The sequence below is a fragment of the Homo sapiens genome, chromosome 5, assembly GCF_000001405.40.
Source record: "Homo sapiens chromosome 5, GRCh38.p14 Primary Assembly".
Taxonomy (NCBI): domain Eukaryota; kingdom Metazoa; phylum Chordata; class Mammalia; order Primates; family Hominidae; genus Homo; species Homo sapiens.
In genome coordinates this window covers 393541-409635 of record NC_000005.10, presented here as the reverse complement: position 1 = coordinate 409635, position 16095 = coordinate 393541, and the positions used below count along the sequence as shown (strand labels likewise).

The 16095-nt window shown below is 52.7% G+C and overlaps 1 protein-coding gene, 1 long non-coding RNA gene and 1 pseudogene across 4 annotated transcripts in view, besides 9 other annotated features; 1 reads left to right on the top strand and 2 right to left on the bottom strand.

The window, feature by feature from the left end:
- PDCD6-AHRR (PDCD6-AHRR readthrough (NMD candidate)) overlaps positions 1–16095 on the bottom strand; it is a 166640-nt gene that overhangs the window by 28650 nt on the left and 121895 nt on the right. The window lies entirely within an intron of this gene.
- Positions 1–16095, bottom strand: part of AHRR (aryl hydrocarbon receptor repressor) — a 116572-nt gene that overhangs the window by 28650 nt on the left and 71827 nt on the right. The window lies entirely within an intron of this gene.
- Positions 1138–1307: an enhancer, noted in NCBI's record as "experimental_85009 CRE fragment used in MPRA reporter constructs". NCBI's record gives its function as "activates a minimal promoter by MPRAs in K562 erythroleukemia cells, with activity observed for the introgressed 5:408529 variant allele {active_cell/tissue: K562}" and the evidence as "EXISTENCE:reporter gene assay evidence [ECO:0000049][PMID:34662402]".
- Positions 1900–2069: an enhancer, noted in NCBI's record as "experimental_85008 CRE fragment used in MPRA reporter constructs". NCBI's record gives its function as "activates a minimal promoter by MPRAs in K562 erythroleukemia cells, with activity observed for the introgressed 5:407767 or rs11738623 variant allele {active_cell/tissue: K562}" and the evidence as "EXISTENCE:reporter gene assay evidence [ECO:0000049][PMID:34662402]".
- Position 1984: a transcriptional cis regulatory region, noted in NCBI's record as "Neanderthal adaptively introgressed variant 5:407767 (GRCh37/hg19 assembly coordinates) or rs11738623 in the experimental_85008 CRE". NCBI's record gives its function as "modulates activity of the experimental_85008 enhancer by MPRAs in K562 erythroleukemia cells {active_cell/tissue: K562}" and the evidence as "EXISTENCE:reporter gene assay evidence [ECO:0000049][PMID:34662402]".
- Positions 4091–4260: an enhancer, noted in NCBI's record as "experimental_85003 CRE fragment used in MPRA reporter constructs". NCBI's record gives its function as "activates a minimal promoter by MPRAs in K562 erythroleukemia cells, with activity observed for both the introgressed and non-introgressed 5:405576 variant alleles {active_cell/tissue: K562}" and the evidence as "EXISTENCE:reporter gene assay evidence [ECO:0000049][PMID:34662402]".
- Positions 5087–5939, top strand: LOC100310782 (mitochondrial translational initiation factor 3 pseudogene; annotated as a pseudogene).
- Positions 6541–6590: a silencer, noted in NCBI's record as "silent region_15871". NCBI's record gives its function as "represses an Ori minimal core promoter by ATAC-STARR-seq in GM12878 lymphoblastoid cells {active_cell/tissue: GM12878}" and the evidence as "EXISTENCE:reporter gene assay evidence [ECO:0000049][PMID:35858748]".
- Positions 6701–6760: an enhancer, noted in NCBI's record as "active region_22283". NCBI's record gives its function as "activates an Ori minimal core promoter by ATAC-STARR-seq in GM12878 lymphoblastoid cells {active_cell/tissue: GM12878}" and the evidence as "EXISTENCE:reporter gene assay evidence [ECO:0000049][PMID:35858748]".
- Positions 8991–10190: an enhancer, noted in NCBI's record as "BRD4-independent group 4 enhancer chr5:399561-400760 (GRCh37/hg19 assembly coordinates)". NCBI's record gives its function as "activates an origin of replication core promoter dependent on BRD2, P300/CBP, MED14 and CDK7 cofactors, and independent of BRD4, by STARR-seq in HCT116 cells {active_cell/tissue: HCT116}" and the evidence as "EXISTENCE:reporter gene assay evidence [ECO:0000049][PMID:35650434]".
- Positions 9322–9731: an enhancer, noted in NCBI's record as "active region_22282". NCBI's record gives its function as "activates an Ori minimal core promoter by ATAC-STARR-seq in GM12878 lymphoblastoid cells {active_cell/tissue: GM12878}" and the evidence as "EXISTENCE:reporter gene assay evidence [ECO:0000049][PMID:35858748]".
- Positions 9409–9938: an enhancer, noted in NCBI's record as "H3K27ac-H3K4me1 hESC enhancer chr5:399813-400342 (GRCh37/hg19 assembly coordinates)". NCBI's record gives its function as "activates a minimal SCP1, AML or CMV promoter by ChIP-STARR-seq in primed H9 embryonic stem cells {active_cell/tissue: H9 hESC(primed)}" and the evidence as "EXISTENCE:reporter gene assay evidence [ECO:0000049][PMID:30033119]".

The following is a 16095-nucleotide window of genomic DNA, read 5'->3' as shown; positions in this document are numbered from 1 at the left end:
ACGTTTGCACAGATACTTTACCAAAAGAGATAGAGTAACGCCCATCATACACATGAAAATATACTCAGCATCCTTAGCCATCAGGGATGTGCAAGTTAAAACCTCACAGAGCTGCTGCTCCACACTCCAGGGTGGCCGCTGTCAGAAAGACCGACAGCACTGAATACTGGCGAGGAAGAGAGTGTGATTGGTGGGAATGTAAAATGCTACAGTCACTTTGGAAGACTGTCCTGCCGTTCCACATAAAGGCAAGTGTACATCTGCCCTACAACCCAGAAGTTCCAGCCTTAGTATTTCATCAAGGGAAATGGGTATGTTCACAAAAAGGCTGGAAAAAGGATGTTCACACTGGCCTTGCTCATAATAATCAAAAGCTACAAATAACCCAAATAACTATCAATCGGATAATGGATAAACAAATTGCAGAATAATTATAAAATGGAATACTGTTAGACAATTTAAAAAATTGAAACCTACCAAATATGCAAAAACATTGATGAATTGCAAAAACACTACGTTAAATAAAAATCAGATGCAAAAGCTCATAAACTTAAGAGTCTGTTTATATGACATCTAAGAACAGGCCAAACTAATCTACAGTAATAAATATCAGAAAGTGGTTCCCTGGGTGTGGCAGAGGGCAAGTGATTGAATAAAAGTGGGAGAAAGACCTATGTACAAATACATTTGAAAACCTAAAGTATATATTTCTGTAGGAAAATGTAATTTATAAAAATCGACCCCATTAGAGATACCAAGCTTAAAAGATCAACTCCTGTAGAAGGAATAAAGTTATCAAGGAATTACCCCACAAAAATGCACCTGGCCCAGACGGCTTTAACATGGAATTCTACCAGATCTTCACAGGTCAGATCATTTCAATGCCCCATAAATTGTTCCAGAGCATAGAAAGTGAAGGAAAATTTGTAGTCCTTTTTAAGAAGTATAACATTGACACTTAACTCTGATATGGAGAGTAAAATAAAAAAGAAAATGACACACCAATATCAGCTTTGAATATTGATGCAAATGTGCTAAATGAAATATTAAGAAATAGACTCCAGTTTCACATTAGGAAAATAATACACCAATAGCCAAGCAGATATAATCCAAGGATGAAAGGCTAGTTCAATATTAGGAAGTCCCTTAACATAAAAGACCATATTTACAGATCTGAGGGGGAAAATGATTATCTCCATATATGGTGAAAAAGCCCTCAATGAAATTCAACAATTATTCCTGAAAAAAAAAAAGGCTCAGGAAAATAGGAATTACTGAATACCTTCTTCACAGGTAACATGTATGTGTGTGCACCTCATTCCTAAGGCAGCGACTTCATAGGGAAACACTCAAGGTGTTTCCAGTAAGATCAAGGAACAGGGTAGGGAGGCCCACCACCACCCATACAAGGGGTGCAACCCTGGCCCCCAGGATGGCGCCCAATATGGCCTGCCACTTGCTTTTGTAAACAGAGCCTCGCTGGAACACAGCCATGCTCACACATTTATTCATTGCCTGTGGCTGCTTTCGTACTACAACCACAAAGCAGAGTGCCAGGGGTGGAGACAGCCCAGCCCAAAATGCCTAAAACATTCTCCATGTGAGCCTTTAAAGAAGAAACCTGCCAACTCCCTCCCATGGTATCGGACATTGTATTGCAGGTATGGATTGATGCAATTCGGTATGAAAAATCAACAGGATGTACAACAATTGGGGAAAAGTGAAACTCTCTCTTTGCAGACGACATCATAGTACATCAGGAAAACCCAGGAGAATCCATGATAAAATAACCCAAGTAAGGCCGGGCTCAGTGGCTCACGCCTGTAATCCCAGCATTTTGAGAGGCCGAGGCAGGTGGATCACGAGGTCAGGAGTTCGAGACCAGCCTGGCCAACATGGTGAAACCCTGTCTTTACTAAAAATACAAAATTAGCTGGGTGTGGTGGCGCATGCCTGTGGTCCCAGCTACTCGGGAGGCTGAGGCGGGAGAATGGCTTGAGCCCGGGAGGCAGAGGTTGCAGTGAGCTGAGATCGTGACATTACACTCCAGCCTGGGCAACAAGAGTGAAACTCTGTCTCAAAAATAAAATAAAATAAAATAACCCAAATAAAATAATTCAGTACAAAATTAACATACAGATACCCATAACCTTTACAAACTGGAAAAATGACCAGATTAGGGTACATAATTGTAGAGAAAGCCCCGTTTACAAAAACATCAAAGAAGCTAAAGTACTTATAAATAAACTTAAGACGTGTGCAAAACCTATATGAAGAAAACTTCAAAACATCTCGAGACACAAAAAATTGTATTTGAACAAATAGGAAGACACACCTCAGTCTTGCATGAGTCAACATCCTAAAGATGCCTGCTCCTCCTGAGTCAATTTATCAACACGCTGTAATACTAATAAACATAGCACCAAACTGATTACGCAGCTGGCAGGTTTATACTAAATATGAAAATAAATATGCAATGATAGCTACAAAAGCACAGGAAAGAAAAAAGTCAGGAGACAGAAGCATCTTATTAAACATCTAAGAAATACTGTCAGGCCTCTATAATTAAATCATGGCGCATGAACAGACACATAAATCAATGGACTAGAATGGAACATCCAGAAATGGGTCCAAGCGCAAATGGAAATTTGATGCATGAAAAAGGTGTCACCTCAAATCACTGGGACAGAGATAGGCTTTTCAATAACTGGTGCCCTATTAAGAAACTTTGTTATTATTGCCTGTTTGATCAGGATCATCTGCAAGCTGACACTCTCCTCCTTTAGTATATTAAGTTGGTAAGTTAACTTTATGAGTATTTCCCAATGTCGGGGTCTCACCTTACTCCTGGATCACCGTGACTGCAGTGGCCCATGCTTTTATAACACAGATGGAAGTTAATTGCTATTATTTTATCTGGAATTGTTTTGTGCAGTTTCACAGGGGAGAAGGGGCTGCGTTTCTCCTTTGAGCTGCCTGCATCGTATTTTTGCACCAGCGTTTTCCTAACCTCTGTGAATTAACTAAACAGCTTTCTATCCCTTTCTATGTTCTTGAATAGCCTAACCAGCTTGAGTATTTTCTGTTTCTTAACGTTTTCCTGAAATTTCCTTCTAAGAACAAGTGGACCAGCCACCTGATCCCCCTTTATTTTGAGACAACTTCCTGTTCTTCCTTACCAATGCAATTATGATTATGTTCAGAGTAGCTAGCTCACACAAAAATGTTTGCCTCCCAGCCTCCCACATGGAGTGATTTGGCCTATGAGGTAGGGGCTGGGGATTGGGGACTCTTTCTCCTGACGTGGGGCCATTCTGGACTGGTCCCTCCATGTTCCGGTCCCTCCATGTTCCTGCAAGAAATGCAGACAAGAGGCGGCTCACAGAGCCACTGGCTGGAAGGAAGGGGGGCTGGGGGCAGCAGAAGTCCCCAGCGACACCGTGGGCCCCTCGCCCAAGCCCAGCTGTGGCAGGTTCCCATCCACACTGCAAGAGGCTTCTTCCGGACAATGCCTTTCCTTTCCCGTTTTCTCCCTAGTTTTTTTTTCCCCAGTTAATTTTGTTGCAGAATTTCTACCTTTTTCGGGTGGCTGTAGAGCGTTTCATACATCTGTGTCTATCTTGTTGGGTGTCACAGGTGTGGGGAAGGTTGAACTGCTACCCAGGGTCCAGTTCAAACCAGAGGCTGCGTGTTCTTCCCTGGACGCTGCCACACCACGCCTAATTCAGGAGGAAAGCCACACCAGAAGGACGCAGCCTCAGACCGAGAGCCTTGCTAGGCTGCAAAGCCATATTTTTCAATCAGTAAAGTATCCAAAAAGAAAAGTCACACGTGCCGTGAAAATATAAAAGAAACACTTGTCAAAGACCAACTCAACAGTCTGCGAGGGGAGCAGTAAGATGTTACGACCGATGGAGAGAGCGGAGGAGCTGGTGGTCGCAGGCGGTGGGACAAGGCTGCTGGGTCAGGTGCCGGCGACCCGAAGGCCCTCACTCCCACCGACCTGAAGGGTGTGCCGCCCACTTGGTTCTGGATACAGAGGTGCAGGCGCCAGGTGATGACTTCACAGTGGGATTTGAACTCTGTGTTGAGCGTCTGAGCAAGAAACCCAAGTCTCACAAAGCACCTCCCACTCGGAGGAAGATGTCAGGGAGCCCCTGCCCAGCTGTCACAACAAAACAGCGGGCAACACCATAGGCTGCTCCACGGTGACAAAATAGGCCAATGCTTTATACGGTTTGGCATCAGTAAAGAAGCCCATCGTTATCACCCTGAACTCCACCACGTTTCTAGAGAAAGGGAAACGGACCCCGCAGGACATCTGCATCCACGGGAGCATCTGAGGAGCTACCATGAACCATGGTATTTGTACATTTTCATTCCCGTGCAGCTCCGAGGAAGAGGGTTGGTTCCATGCTAACCTCTTTGGGTCGTGAGCAGAAAGTCTGGTGAATCTGCCTGGACCCATCGGGGCTGTTCACAAGCTCTCGGTTTGCCCAGATTTCCCCAAGAGAAATGGGGAAATGTCAGACCTGCTGCATTTCTTTGGGGGAGGGGGCCATGGAACACTTGGGACTTAGTTGTTTATGTCACTGAATAAAGGATCCAATGTGCCCATGGGATGATCCACAGAAAGGAAATCACTATTTTCCTCTCAGTAGCTGGATTAATCAGCAGGACATGAAATGGACCCCGCGGGGAGTGTGAAGACAGCCTCGTGCCAGCCTCCTCAAAATGGACTGAGCCTGCTACTCGAAGGCACGAAGGAGGAATGGCAGGTGGTGCCCGCTGGCAGATTAGCAAGCTGGATAATCATCTCACCATGTCCTGCGCCACCTCCGATTTTCACCTAAAAACATAACACCTTCTCATCCAGCCTCCCACCAGCTGGAAGAAATCTTTCTTGGAGGATTCTTAGGGACTTTAGTTTTAGCTCATGTGACAAGACTGGGACGCCCCCCAAGGCCAGACTTCCATGTCCCTCGTATTACTGACTCAACCAAGAGAGTGAATTTTTATGACAGTTTTTTCCAAACCGTCATAACATAAAAATTACCATTTTAGTACCAATCGCCTGCCCCGGCCCAGGACGCCTGCTCTTTTTCTGAAGAGGTTATCACTACAAACCGTAAAGTCTGAAAATAGTTGCGTTAGATGTTTTGGTGAACACACCGTGCACGACAGCACCAGCACAGTGGTCCCCTGTTGCTTCTGCCCCAAGACTCTCCTTCCTAAATCATGCAAAAGGCTTTAGGACCACTGAAGACACCCAGAATGAAGGAAAAAAGAAAAAAAAAAGAGTGAAACAGCTTTTAGTAACACTGGAAGAAAAATTAGCGAATTATTCACATGTTTGATGAGAAGGGCAATGATTTGGGAACATGCATGGAGCAGATGTGATTAGACTCATGGATGAGCGAGAGCTGCGACGGGTTCAAAGGCTGCAGAAGACCAGCTCGTGACAGGAATGCAGACCCACCAGGAACGGCTGAGGCTGAGAGAGACGGAGAAGGGTAACCCCAAACCTGGACCAACCCTGACAACGGAACTGACTTTTTCTTCAAACGCTGGACAACATGATTTGGATGCAAAGACTAAACAGATTCAGCCGTGGATTAAGAAAAAACACCAAGTTCGAATTACTGTAAAGAAAGCAGAAAATGTAGACGAGTCAGAAAATAAAGTGGAGGAGATATTTCATCAAATACTCCAGACTGTGCCTGGAATAGCTACATTCTCATCTAGGCCACAAGCTGTTCAAGGAGGAAAAGCTTTAATGTGGGTTCTTTGTCCTTTGAGCAAAAAGGAAGAGAAGGCATATCGAGAAACTCAAGAGACCCAGGAAAGAGACCCTTTGAACAAAGACCATGGAAATGATAAGGAATCAAATGTTCTGCATCAGTAATTTTAATACGGAAAAATATGCCTCTGAGAGAAAGTAAAAAAAAAAAAATACCATTTTAACTATTTAAAGTGGTTACTTTTTTTTTTTTTTTCTGAAACGGAGTCTCATTCTGTCACCTAGGCTGGAGTACAGTGTGGTGCGATCTCGGCTCACTGCAACCTCCGCCTCCCAGGTTCAAGCAGTTCTCCTGCTGCAGCCTCCCGAGTAGCTGGGATTACAGGCATGCGCCACCACACCCAGCTAATTTTTGCATTTTTAGTAGAGACAGCGTTTCACCATGTTGGCCAGGCTGGTCTCGAACTCCTGACCTCAGGTGATCCACCCGCCTTGGCCTCCCAAAGTGCTGGGATTACAGGGTGAGCCACTGCACCCGACCTAAGTGGTTAAATTTCAGTCATTTTGAGCTCAGTGGCATTAAGCACGTCCACATTGTTGTGCAACCATCATGACCGTCCATCTTCAGAACATTCCCACCCTCCCAAACTGAAACTCTGACCACATTAAACACTCACCCCCACTCCCCTCCTCAGCCCGGTACGTCCCACCCGCTTTCTGCCTCCGAATTTGCCTACACTGGGGACCTCATCTGAGCGAATCAAGCAGGCTTTGACTTTGTTTCACTCCGCAGAGTCGTCAAGGTGGATCCGAGCCACAGTGCGTGTCCATTTCCTTCCTTCCTTCTTTATCCCCCTCCCACACCCCCGGCCCCTGGTAACCACTGACTCTCTGTTTCGATGAGTTCCACTTTTTTAGATTCCACATATGAGTGAGATCACGCAGAACTGTCTGTGCATGACTTATTTCACTGAGCACCATGTCCTCCAGGTTCATCCGTGGTTTGCAAATACCAGGATTCCCTTCTTTTTCTGGTTGAACAGGATTCCATGGTGTATACACAGAGCATTTTCTTTATCTGTGCATTCACTGGTGGACATGCAGGTTGTCTCCATGTCTTGGCTACTGGTGTCTCTGATTCTGGTTTCAGCTCCTTTGGGTAAATGCCCGGCAGGGGGACTGCTGCGTTGCATGGAAGTTCCATTTTTAATTTGGGTAAATGCCCAGCAGGGGGGCTGCTGCGTTGCATGGAAGTTCCGTTTTCCATTTTGAATTTTTTGAGGAAGCTCCATGTAGCCTTCCAACACATCTACACTAATCTACCTTCCCGCCAACAGTGCACGAGGGTCCCCTTCTCTCCACACCCTCATCAACGACTGCCTTCCCGCCAACAGTGCACGAGGGTCCCCTTCTCTCCACACCCTCAACAACGACTGCCTTCCCGCCAACAGTGCACGAGGGTCCCCTTCTCTCCACACCCTCAACAACGACTGCCTTCCCGCCAACAGTGCACGAGGGTCCCCTTCTCTCCACACCCTCATCAACGACTGCCTTCCCGCCAACAGTGCACGAGGGTCCCCTTCTCTCCACACCCTCATCAACGACTGCCTTCCATCTTTTTGAAACAGCTGTCCTGATGGTGTGAGAGGAGCTCGCTGACGGTTTCCATTTGCACTTCCCTGTGCCTGGCGATGCCGAGCACCTTTCCACCTACAAACTGGCCATTTTGTGTCTCCTTTGGAGAAGCGTCTATCAGGTCCTTTTCCTGGTTTTTAATGGGGTTTTTTCTTCCTCTTGAGTTGGCTGGGTTCCTTATGTATGTGGGGTCTTTCCCGCCAGTGAGATGTATGGTTGGCAAATGCGTCCTCCCATTCCATAGGCTGCCTCTTCATTGTGTTGACGGTTTCCTTTGCTGGGCAAAAGTTTTTCAGTTTGGTGCAGGCCTGTCTGCGTATTTCTCTTTTGCTGCCCCGCTCTTTTTAAGGCTGAATACTCCTCCTCTGTAGGTAGATACCTCTTGCTAACCCACCCACCTGTCAACGGAGGCTTGGTTGCCCCCTTGCTTTGGTTGGGAACATGGCTGCTGTGGCTGCATTTCCAGAAGGAAGGTAGCTCAGGCTGAAATCACTTCACGACACTTTGCTCTTCTCTGCAATCCCTACCTGGGAGAAACGGTGACTCAGAAGCTGCGGCGAGGGTTAAATCACACTCTGTGCCCCGCAGAGCTGGCATCCTGTGGAACGATGGTGCCAGGAGCACTTGACCTGCCTTTCGCCGCCGCATCCGCCTGCCCTGGCTTCACAGCTTCACCCTGGAACTCCTGGAGTTCTTGTCCTGCCTGGAGTTGACCGTGGGGAGTACCCACGAGGGCCCAGGATCGTCCCTGCCTGTGCTCAGCAAGATCTAGGCCCTGGGCTGGCGCCAATGGAGGTCAGGGACTTTGTGGCCATGGAGGGACCATGGGCCAATCCCACCCCCTTCGCAAGTGGTGATGCAGACAGGGAGCAACCCAGAAAGCCTGGCCCAGAGCCGGCACCTGTGGCATCGAGGCCCTTTCTCTACAGCGGCTCCCATCTTAGGGGCCAGCAGCTGTGTCTGGAACTAGGGGACCCAAACTACCACTGTGCCTCAGGCTGGCCCCTCAGGCTGGCATCCACCCCTCAGACTCCTGCAGCCCCTCCCTCCCCTTGGATTTAGGCAGAGACAGGGTGAGATGACGTGGGGTGCACCCCAAGGGGTTGTTAGAAAACAGGTGAGAACGTGAAGCAGCCGGGGGCCATGTGGCCTGGGGGGCATCTGCTGAAAGGGAACAGAGTTGCCATCCAACTGCCCGCTCTGAGCCGGGCAGTGGTGACACTGAGGGGCCTCACTCCCGCCCCACACGGGCTGGAGGGGTGTGCACCAGGGCCTCGGGTCCTCAGCCCCCAGCCCTTCCTGGCACTGCTGGGAGAGGTCTGTGCCCGCCGGCTCCTGCCACAGCTTTTCCCAATTCAGCGGTTGCCACATACTGATGATGTCCTACTAATAATAGTTCAAAGACCAAAGAAATTTTCAAGGCTTGAGTATATAAAATGTCTTCTTAAAAAAGATTTTATGAGATTAGTCACAACCAAAAGCAACCTTAATTTTAACTCACAAGGCAGAATTTTTTTTTAAAGACCATAAAATGCTGTTTGCCGTGTCATATGGATTCAATATCAGATTGACTTCTGGTCCAGCATTGTCATGCCAAATACTTTTACACATGTGGGCCCATCTTTCAAATATGCATCTCGAACGTCTGTTTGTTTTCTCTCCCTCTGCCTTTCTAATCCTACAAAAGTTTTGTTTTTTTTTTAAACGTGGTCCATGGAAAATGAGATCACTTTTCCAAACGGAAAAAGGATTTGGCTCTAAGGTTAAGGCTCTACTTTTTTTAAGGGGAAAAAGATCACATCCATGTGCTGTTACTGAACGTCAGGAAACGGCGCACCTGCCACTTCGCAAGGACAACGGAGGTCGGGGCAGGTGAGGGCCGAGGCAGGTGAGGGCTGGAGCCACGCTCTCCCCCAGGGACCGCAGGGAATGGGGCAAACGTTCTGAGAAAGCCGGAACTTCCTCTGTCAAACCCTTTAAATATCCTGATCTCTTCCAGTTCCAGGGCAGAAAAAATAGCCGGCAAGTACTTCAAAGATTATTTTTGTCAAGGTCATGGCAGAGGGAAAATGAGGGAAAAAGGAACAACCCTCCACATCCCCCTGGCTGCCCCTCCTCGGAGTAAAGGGAAGTTGGGAGTATTGTGCTCCCCTGAGAGCCGTTGCCACGGTTACGGAGCCACAACACGGCGGCTAGTCACGCGAGCGGGCACCGGGCGGGCGTCGGGGCAGCTGGCCCGGCCTCCTGGAGGCAGATCACTCACAGGGGCCGCTCCATGGGGCTTGCGTGCGTGCGAGGCAGCGCTCTTGCTTGGGGAGCTGAATAACTGGCTGTTTATAGATCCCACAAACAGTAAACGCAGGCTTGACTCTCTTCCACGGAGCAGCTCCGACATTTGAAAACAGTTCTTGAGAATGCAGCTGGCCGGATGGCCACAGAGTGGGAGGCTGACTGAAGCCCCGGGGCCCTAGAAGAGCAGGCAGATGGCGGCCCCCAGGCAGTCCCTCCTGACGCCCACTGCAGCCCCGCTCGGTTAACCCGGTGTCCTGGGCCCCCTTCTGGCTGAGAGACCAGCCAGTGCTGACGCCGCCTCCGCCCTCACCTTTGCTGCGAACCCTTGGCGAGTTAATTCACCTCTCTGGGCCTTGGTTTCCTCCTGCGAAAGATGGGACGGCAACAGTGAGCGTCTGTGAGGGCGGCGGTGAGCAGCAGCACCAGGCACCCTCCAGTGATCAGGGCAGCACCCGCTGTCTCTGTGACTGGAGGGCAAATGGCTGTGCTGGACAGGCAATCTGACGTCTAAAGTTGATGTCATTTTCTAGAGAACAAAACTTATGCTTTTAAAACCAGGACCCGCTTTCTGAGTGCAAACACCCTGAGTGTGAAACGCACTTCACAAGAAGCAGACTTACAACTCATAAACAAAGGCAGCTGACGGTTACCACAGTGAATCTCCCTCCAGAAGCGCCAGGCCCATCCTGCCGGGGTCCTGGTGGTTGGGGAGCCACCCCTGCCGATCCCTAAGCCTGGGACCCCACGCCCTGGGTGTGTCCTGCACCACCAGCCCCGGCCTCAGAGACCCTGGGGCTAGAGTTGGCCTGGGCCGTCCCTCTGCACCTGCGGCTCCACACCCAGGAGAGCCCGAGGGAGCTCCGCGCTGACCCAGCTGCTTCAGAGCAGACAAGGAAGGTGGCATGGGGATAAGAACCACCCGGTAGGAAACCAATGGCAGGGAAGCAGCCATGAGGCCGAGAGGTGGGCATTGAGCGGGAGCTGCGGCTGCTTGGTCCTCGAGAGGAATGAGGTGCGCCACGGTGGTGCTGGGCATGTTGGCAGGGGGGTCCCAGGTGCACCAGTGACCTCGGGTGGGGAAAATCCACCCAGAACAGACGGGGGCGGCTGCTGGAGCCAGGGCCACACACAGACCCACAGTTTGCTGAGGGCCACTCACGGCCTCCGGAGCCCGCAGGACCCAGGCCTGGCGGCAGAAGGCCCTGCCAGCCCAGCCCTTCTCACAGAAGCCCATCGGTGACAACGGCAATGCCTCCTCCCAGTGTCGGCAGCTTAAAACGGAGTAACAGCCAAGGGGGGTGGGGCACGCACGGCGCCTGAAACCCGGTTTGGCACAAACACACTCCTTCCACCAGGGGCAGGCCCAGGACCCTCACCTGTGCTGACACTGCCTGCTGGGGAGAGCCTGGGATGCAAGGGTCCAAGCCCAGCTGAGCCGAGGGCAGAGCAGGGGCCGAGTGAACACCACTGAATAGAACTCTGTGCACCCGGCTCAGTGACCACAGATGGTCAGAGGCTAACTGGACAGTCAGGGGCTTATGTGGATGGTCAGGGGCTAAGGTGGACAGTCAGGGGCTAACCAGACAGTCGGGGCTAATGCGGACAATCAGGGGCTAAGGTGTACGGTTGGGGCTAACGCGGAATGTCGGGGCTAACGCGGAAGGTCAGGGGCTAACACGGATGGTCAGGGGCTACGTGGATGGTCAGGAGCTACGTGGATGGTCAGGGGCTAACATGGATGGTCAGGAGCTACGTGGATGGTCAGGAGCTACGTGGATGGTCAGGAGCTACGTGGATGGTCAGGGGCTACGTGGATGGTCAGGGGCTAACATGGACGGTCAGGAGCTACGTGGATGGTCAGGAGCTACGTGGATGGTCAGGGGCTACGTGGATGGTCAGGAGCTACGTGGATGGTCAGGGGCTAACATGGATGGTCAGGAGCTACGTGGATGGTCAGGGGCTACGTGGATGGTCAGGGGCTACGTGGATGGTCAGGAGCTATGTGGATGGTCAGGGGCTACGTGGATGGTCAGGGGCTACGTGGATGGTCAGGGGCTAACATGGATGGTCAGGAGCTACGTGGATGGTCAGGGGCTAACAGGGATGGTCAGGGGCTAACATGGTCAGGGGCTAACATGGACGGTCAGGAGCTACGTGGACGGTCAGGGGCTACGTGGATGGTCAGGGGCTACGTGGACGGTCAGGGGCTAACATGGACGGTCAGGAGCTACGTGGACGGTCAGGAGCTACGTGGACGGTCAGGGGCTACGTGGATGGTCAGGGGCTACATGGATGGTCAGGGGCTACGTGGATGGTCAGGGGCTATGTGGATGGTCAGGGGCTAACATGGATGGTCAGGAGCTACGTGGATGGTCAGGGGCTAACAGGGATGGTCAGGGGCTAACATGGTCAGGGGCTAACATGGACGGTCAGGAGCTACGTGGACGGTCAGGGGCTACGTGGATGGTCAGGGGCTACGTGGATGGTCAGGGGCTATGTGGATGGTCAGGGGCTAACATGGATGGTCAGGAGCTACGTGGATGGTCAGGGGCTAACAGGGATGGTCAGGGGCTAACATGGATGGTCAGGGGCTACGTGGATGGTCAGGGGCTAACATGGATGGTCAGGGGCTACATGGATGGTCAGGGGCTAACAGGGATGGTCAGGGGCTAACATGGTCAGGGGCTAACATGGACGGTCAGGAGCTACGTGGATGGTCAGGGGCTACGTGGATGGTCAGGGGCTACGTGGATGGTCAGGGGCTATGTGGATGGTCAGGGGCTAACATGGATGGTCAGGAGCTACGTGGATGGTCAGGGGCTAACATGGATGGTCAGGGGCTAACATGGATGGTCAGGGGCTACGTGGATGGTCAGGGGCTACGTGGATGGTCAGGGGCTACGTGGATGGTCAGGGGCTAACATGGATGGTCAGGGGCTACATGGATGGTCAGGGGCTAACGTGGATGGTCAGGGGCTAACATGGACAGTAGGGGTAAATGGTGGAGAGTCCTGGAGATCTAAAAGTCACAGAGAGGCCGGTGTGGGCCCCAGACACCTGCAGCAGCCTCTGAGGTGGGCAAGGAGCCGGGCACTCTGACCCAGCTGGGCGGGGGTCCCCAGCCTCCTGGAACTGGCCTGGGATGTGGATGGGCGGGTGGGGGTCGGGGAGAGGGCGGGCAGGCGAATGCAGGGGGAGCTGGACTACCTTCCTGCTGTGCCCACTCTCAGGCCAGCTGCAGGGCCGGCATGCTTCCTCCCTGGTGAAACCTCTGGCCATACCTTTATTTATTACATACATCTGATGGACTCCTGAAATGAAAGCCACTTGAAAGGAGTTTCGGAACAGCAGGCCCAGCAGCTACAACAGACGGTAAAACGTGGATTTCTCTTAGCAGAAAGGCCGAAGAAGCGGCAGAAAATGCCAGGCCAGGAGATGAGGCCAAGTGTGTTCTGTGGGGCTTGTGGGAAAGTGCCCAGAACAGAGGCAGGAGCAGGCTTGGGCATCATGGAGCTCTCTCCACGGTGGCCGGCGTATGCCAGGGTGAGGCTGGGGCCGCCCGCCTCAGTACCCCCAGACACACAGACCCCAGCCATGGTATGCGGGGCTTGGTTCTCCACCCCCATCACCTCTAAAGTCAGGGACAAAGGGGGGTGTGGGATGCCCCCTCCCAGCCTGCTGTCCCCACACGGCCGTCCTTTCCAGCCCCCATGCCTCCCCTGAGGATGGGGGTGCCAGGCCCAGAAGGAGGGCAGGAGGGCATACCCTGCATTTGTCCTGGCCAGGACAGGCCCAAGGCCCGGGGCCCCTCTGTCTGGGTTGCCGCCTTGTCATGGGGGCTGGGACCCTCCCGCTCCTGGGCTGCAGGCCCCCACTGCCCCATCCCTCTCTTACCCTCCCGGGCTCGTTTCCCCGGTACCCCCACTTTGTGCTCCCAGAGCCTCCTGAGTTGTGGTCCTGTGTTACCATCTGGTGTTTTATACCTTCGCTTCTGGCCTGAGTTTCTGGACGACCCATGGCCTCCTAATCCTCGTACCAGGAGCCCCTTAGAGCCAGGCAACATCACTGCATGGAGGAAGCTGGAGGAAGGGGACGCTCATCCCTTTTGCTTCACCTCCTGTTCCCCTCACTCAATCCTCTCCCAAAGGGTCCCTCACAGGAACGTGTGCGCAGCCCCAGCTGGGAGGGCTTCTAGGCCTTTCTTTAGGACAGCAGCCTGTGGCGGAGGAGTGTCTCCCCACTTGTTAAATTTCAACTGCTGGACACTTTGGTTCCTGGGGACTTCTCAGGAATTTTCCAGAAACCACACCAGAGCAGCAGCGCGGCCCGATGACCGTCTGCCGAGCGGCTTGGGGCTTCCAGACACGCAAGGCTGTTCTCACAGCTGTTTTTGTGAGGCCCTGCTCGGCTGCCACTGGGCACAGGCAGGGTGGGAGCTGGAGCAGGCGCTTCTGATGACCTGGCCTGCAGTGGCCTCTGGGAAGCTGCCTGTCCAGTCCTGGAGCTGAGAAGCTCTGTTTCAGGGAACTGGTGAGATTCCCCTGCTCTGGGCTGGTGAGTCAGCTGCCCTTCCTGTTTGCCACCTTGTCCTCTCCCGGGACTTTTATTCCCCTAATTTTCGGACCCTGCTCAGCCTGGCGTTCAGCTAACTGCATCCCACCACCGGGGCTCGTGTCTCCCAGGCCCCCTCTGTCTGCATTCCGCACCAGTGTCATTCAGGGAATGGGGACGCAGGGCAGCCAGTGTCGGCCACCTGGCAGGAGGGGGACTTGAGGACAGGATCCCCAGAAAAGCTGAGGGAACCCCAGAAGTCTTGGGCTATCTGGGGTTAGGTGTGGAGGAGATTGGGAGCCACGGCCCAGGGCAGGGGCTTTGGGGTCACAGTCAAAATACAGGTGGGAGAAATCACTTTCCCGTCCTGCCTTTGCCCTCCCAAGATGCCTCGAGACAGCCCTGCCTGGGGGGCGACAGCAGGAGGCTGGGGCCGGGGCCTGAGGGGCAAGATCCGGAGACGCAAGAGCTTGACACGGCCGCACCGCCAGCTCCAGCACCCACCCTCCCTCCTCTTGTGCAAACCCCCAGGCTGGGGAGGACTCGGGGCAAAAGTGCTCCCTCCCACGGTGCTCCCTTCAAAGGTAAACTCCTCACCCAGGAGCTGGCCCTGCCCACCTGCCCTCCCCTCTGCCCTCCACGCAACCAGGGCCAGCCCTGTCCGGCCCCACACAGGCCCAATCGGAGCCAGCGCACACGGGGACCAGAGACAGGAGGCACAGCCAGGAAAGTGGAGCCAAGCAACGGGCGAAGACAAGCAGGGTTCCAGCACACAGGGAGGAAAGGGGAGAGACAAGAGGGCTCCAGCACACAGGGAGGAAAGGGGAGAGACAAGAGGGCTCCAGCACACAGGGAGGAAAGGGGAGAGACAAGAGGGCTCCAGCACACAGGGAGGAAAGGGGAGAGACAAGAGGGCTCCAGCACACAGGGAGGAAAGGGGAGAGACAAGAGGGCTCCAGCACACAGGGAGGAAAGGGGAGAGACAAGAGGGCTCCAGCACACAGGGAGGAAAGGGGAGAGACAAGAGGGCTCCAGCACACAGGGAGGAAAGGGGAGAGACAAGAGGGCTCCAGCACACAGGGAGGAAAGGGGAGAGACAAGAGGGCTCCAGCACACAGGGAGGAAAGGGGAGAGACAAGAGGGTTCCAGCACACAGGGAGGAAAGGGGAGGCCCTGGAGCAGAGAAAACATTCGCCAGCAGGAATGCAGCTGAGCACAAAGCTGCAGCCTGGAGGCTCCTTGTAGGGCCTCCCTCCTGCCACCCAGACAGAGCCAGCAAGAAACCCAGAGCCAGCAGGGTGGCTGCAGAAGGGCCCTGCCTGGATAACAGCAGGTCCAGAAGATAAAAGCAAGAATGGAGAGGGACACCACCAGTGCAGCGACAGACACAGAATGTCCAGAACCAAAGATGAGAGACCTCGGCTGGGAAGAACTCACAGAGGACACGTCGCCACAAAACTCTCGACCACCAGAAAGAAAACACTGCAATAGGCCGGGCGCAGCGGCTCACGCCTGTCATCCCAGCACTTTGGGAGGCTGATCACTTAAGGTCAGGAGTTGGAGACCAGCCTGGCCAACATGGTGAAACCCCATCTCTACTAAAAATACAAAAATTAGCCGGGCATTGTGGCATACGCCTATAATCCCAGCTACTTGGGAGGCTGAGGCAGGAGAATCACTTGAACTCAGGAGGCAGAGGTTGCAGTGAGCCAAGATCGTACCACTGCACTCCAGCCTGGGAAACAGAGTGAGACTCTGTCTCAAAAAAAAAACCAAAGAAAACAAATAAAACAATAAAACATTGCAATAGCTCCCAGAAGAGCAAGAGCACAGCCTCCAGGAAAGAGCAGACCCACCAGGCTCAGCAGCAAGGCCAC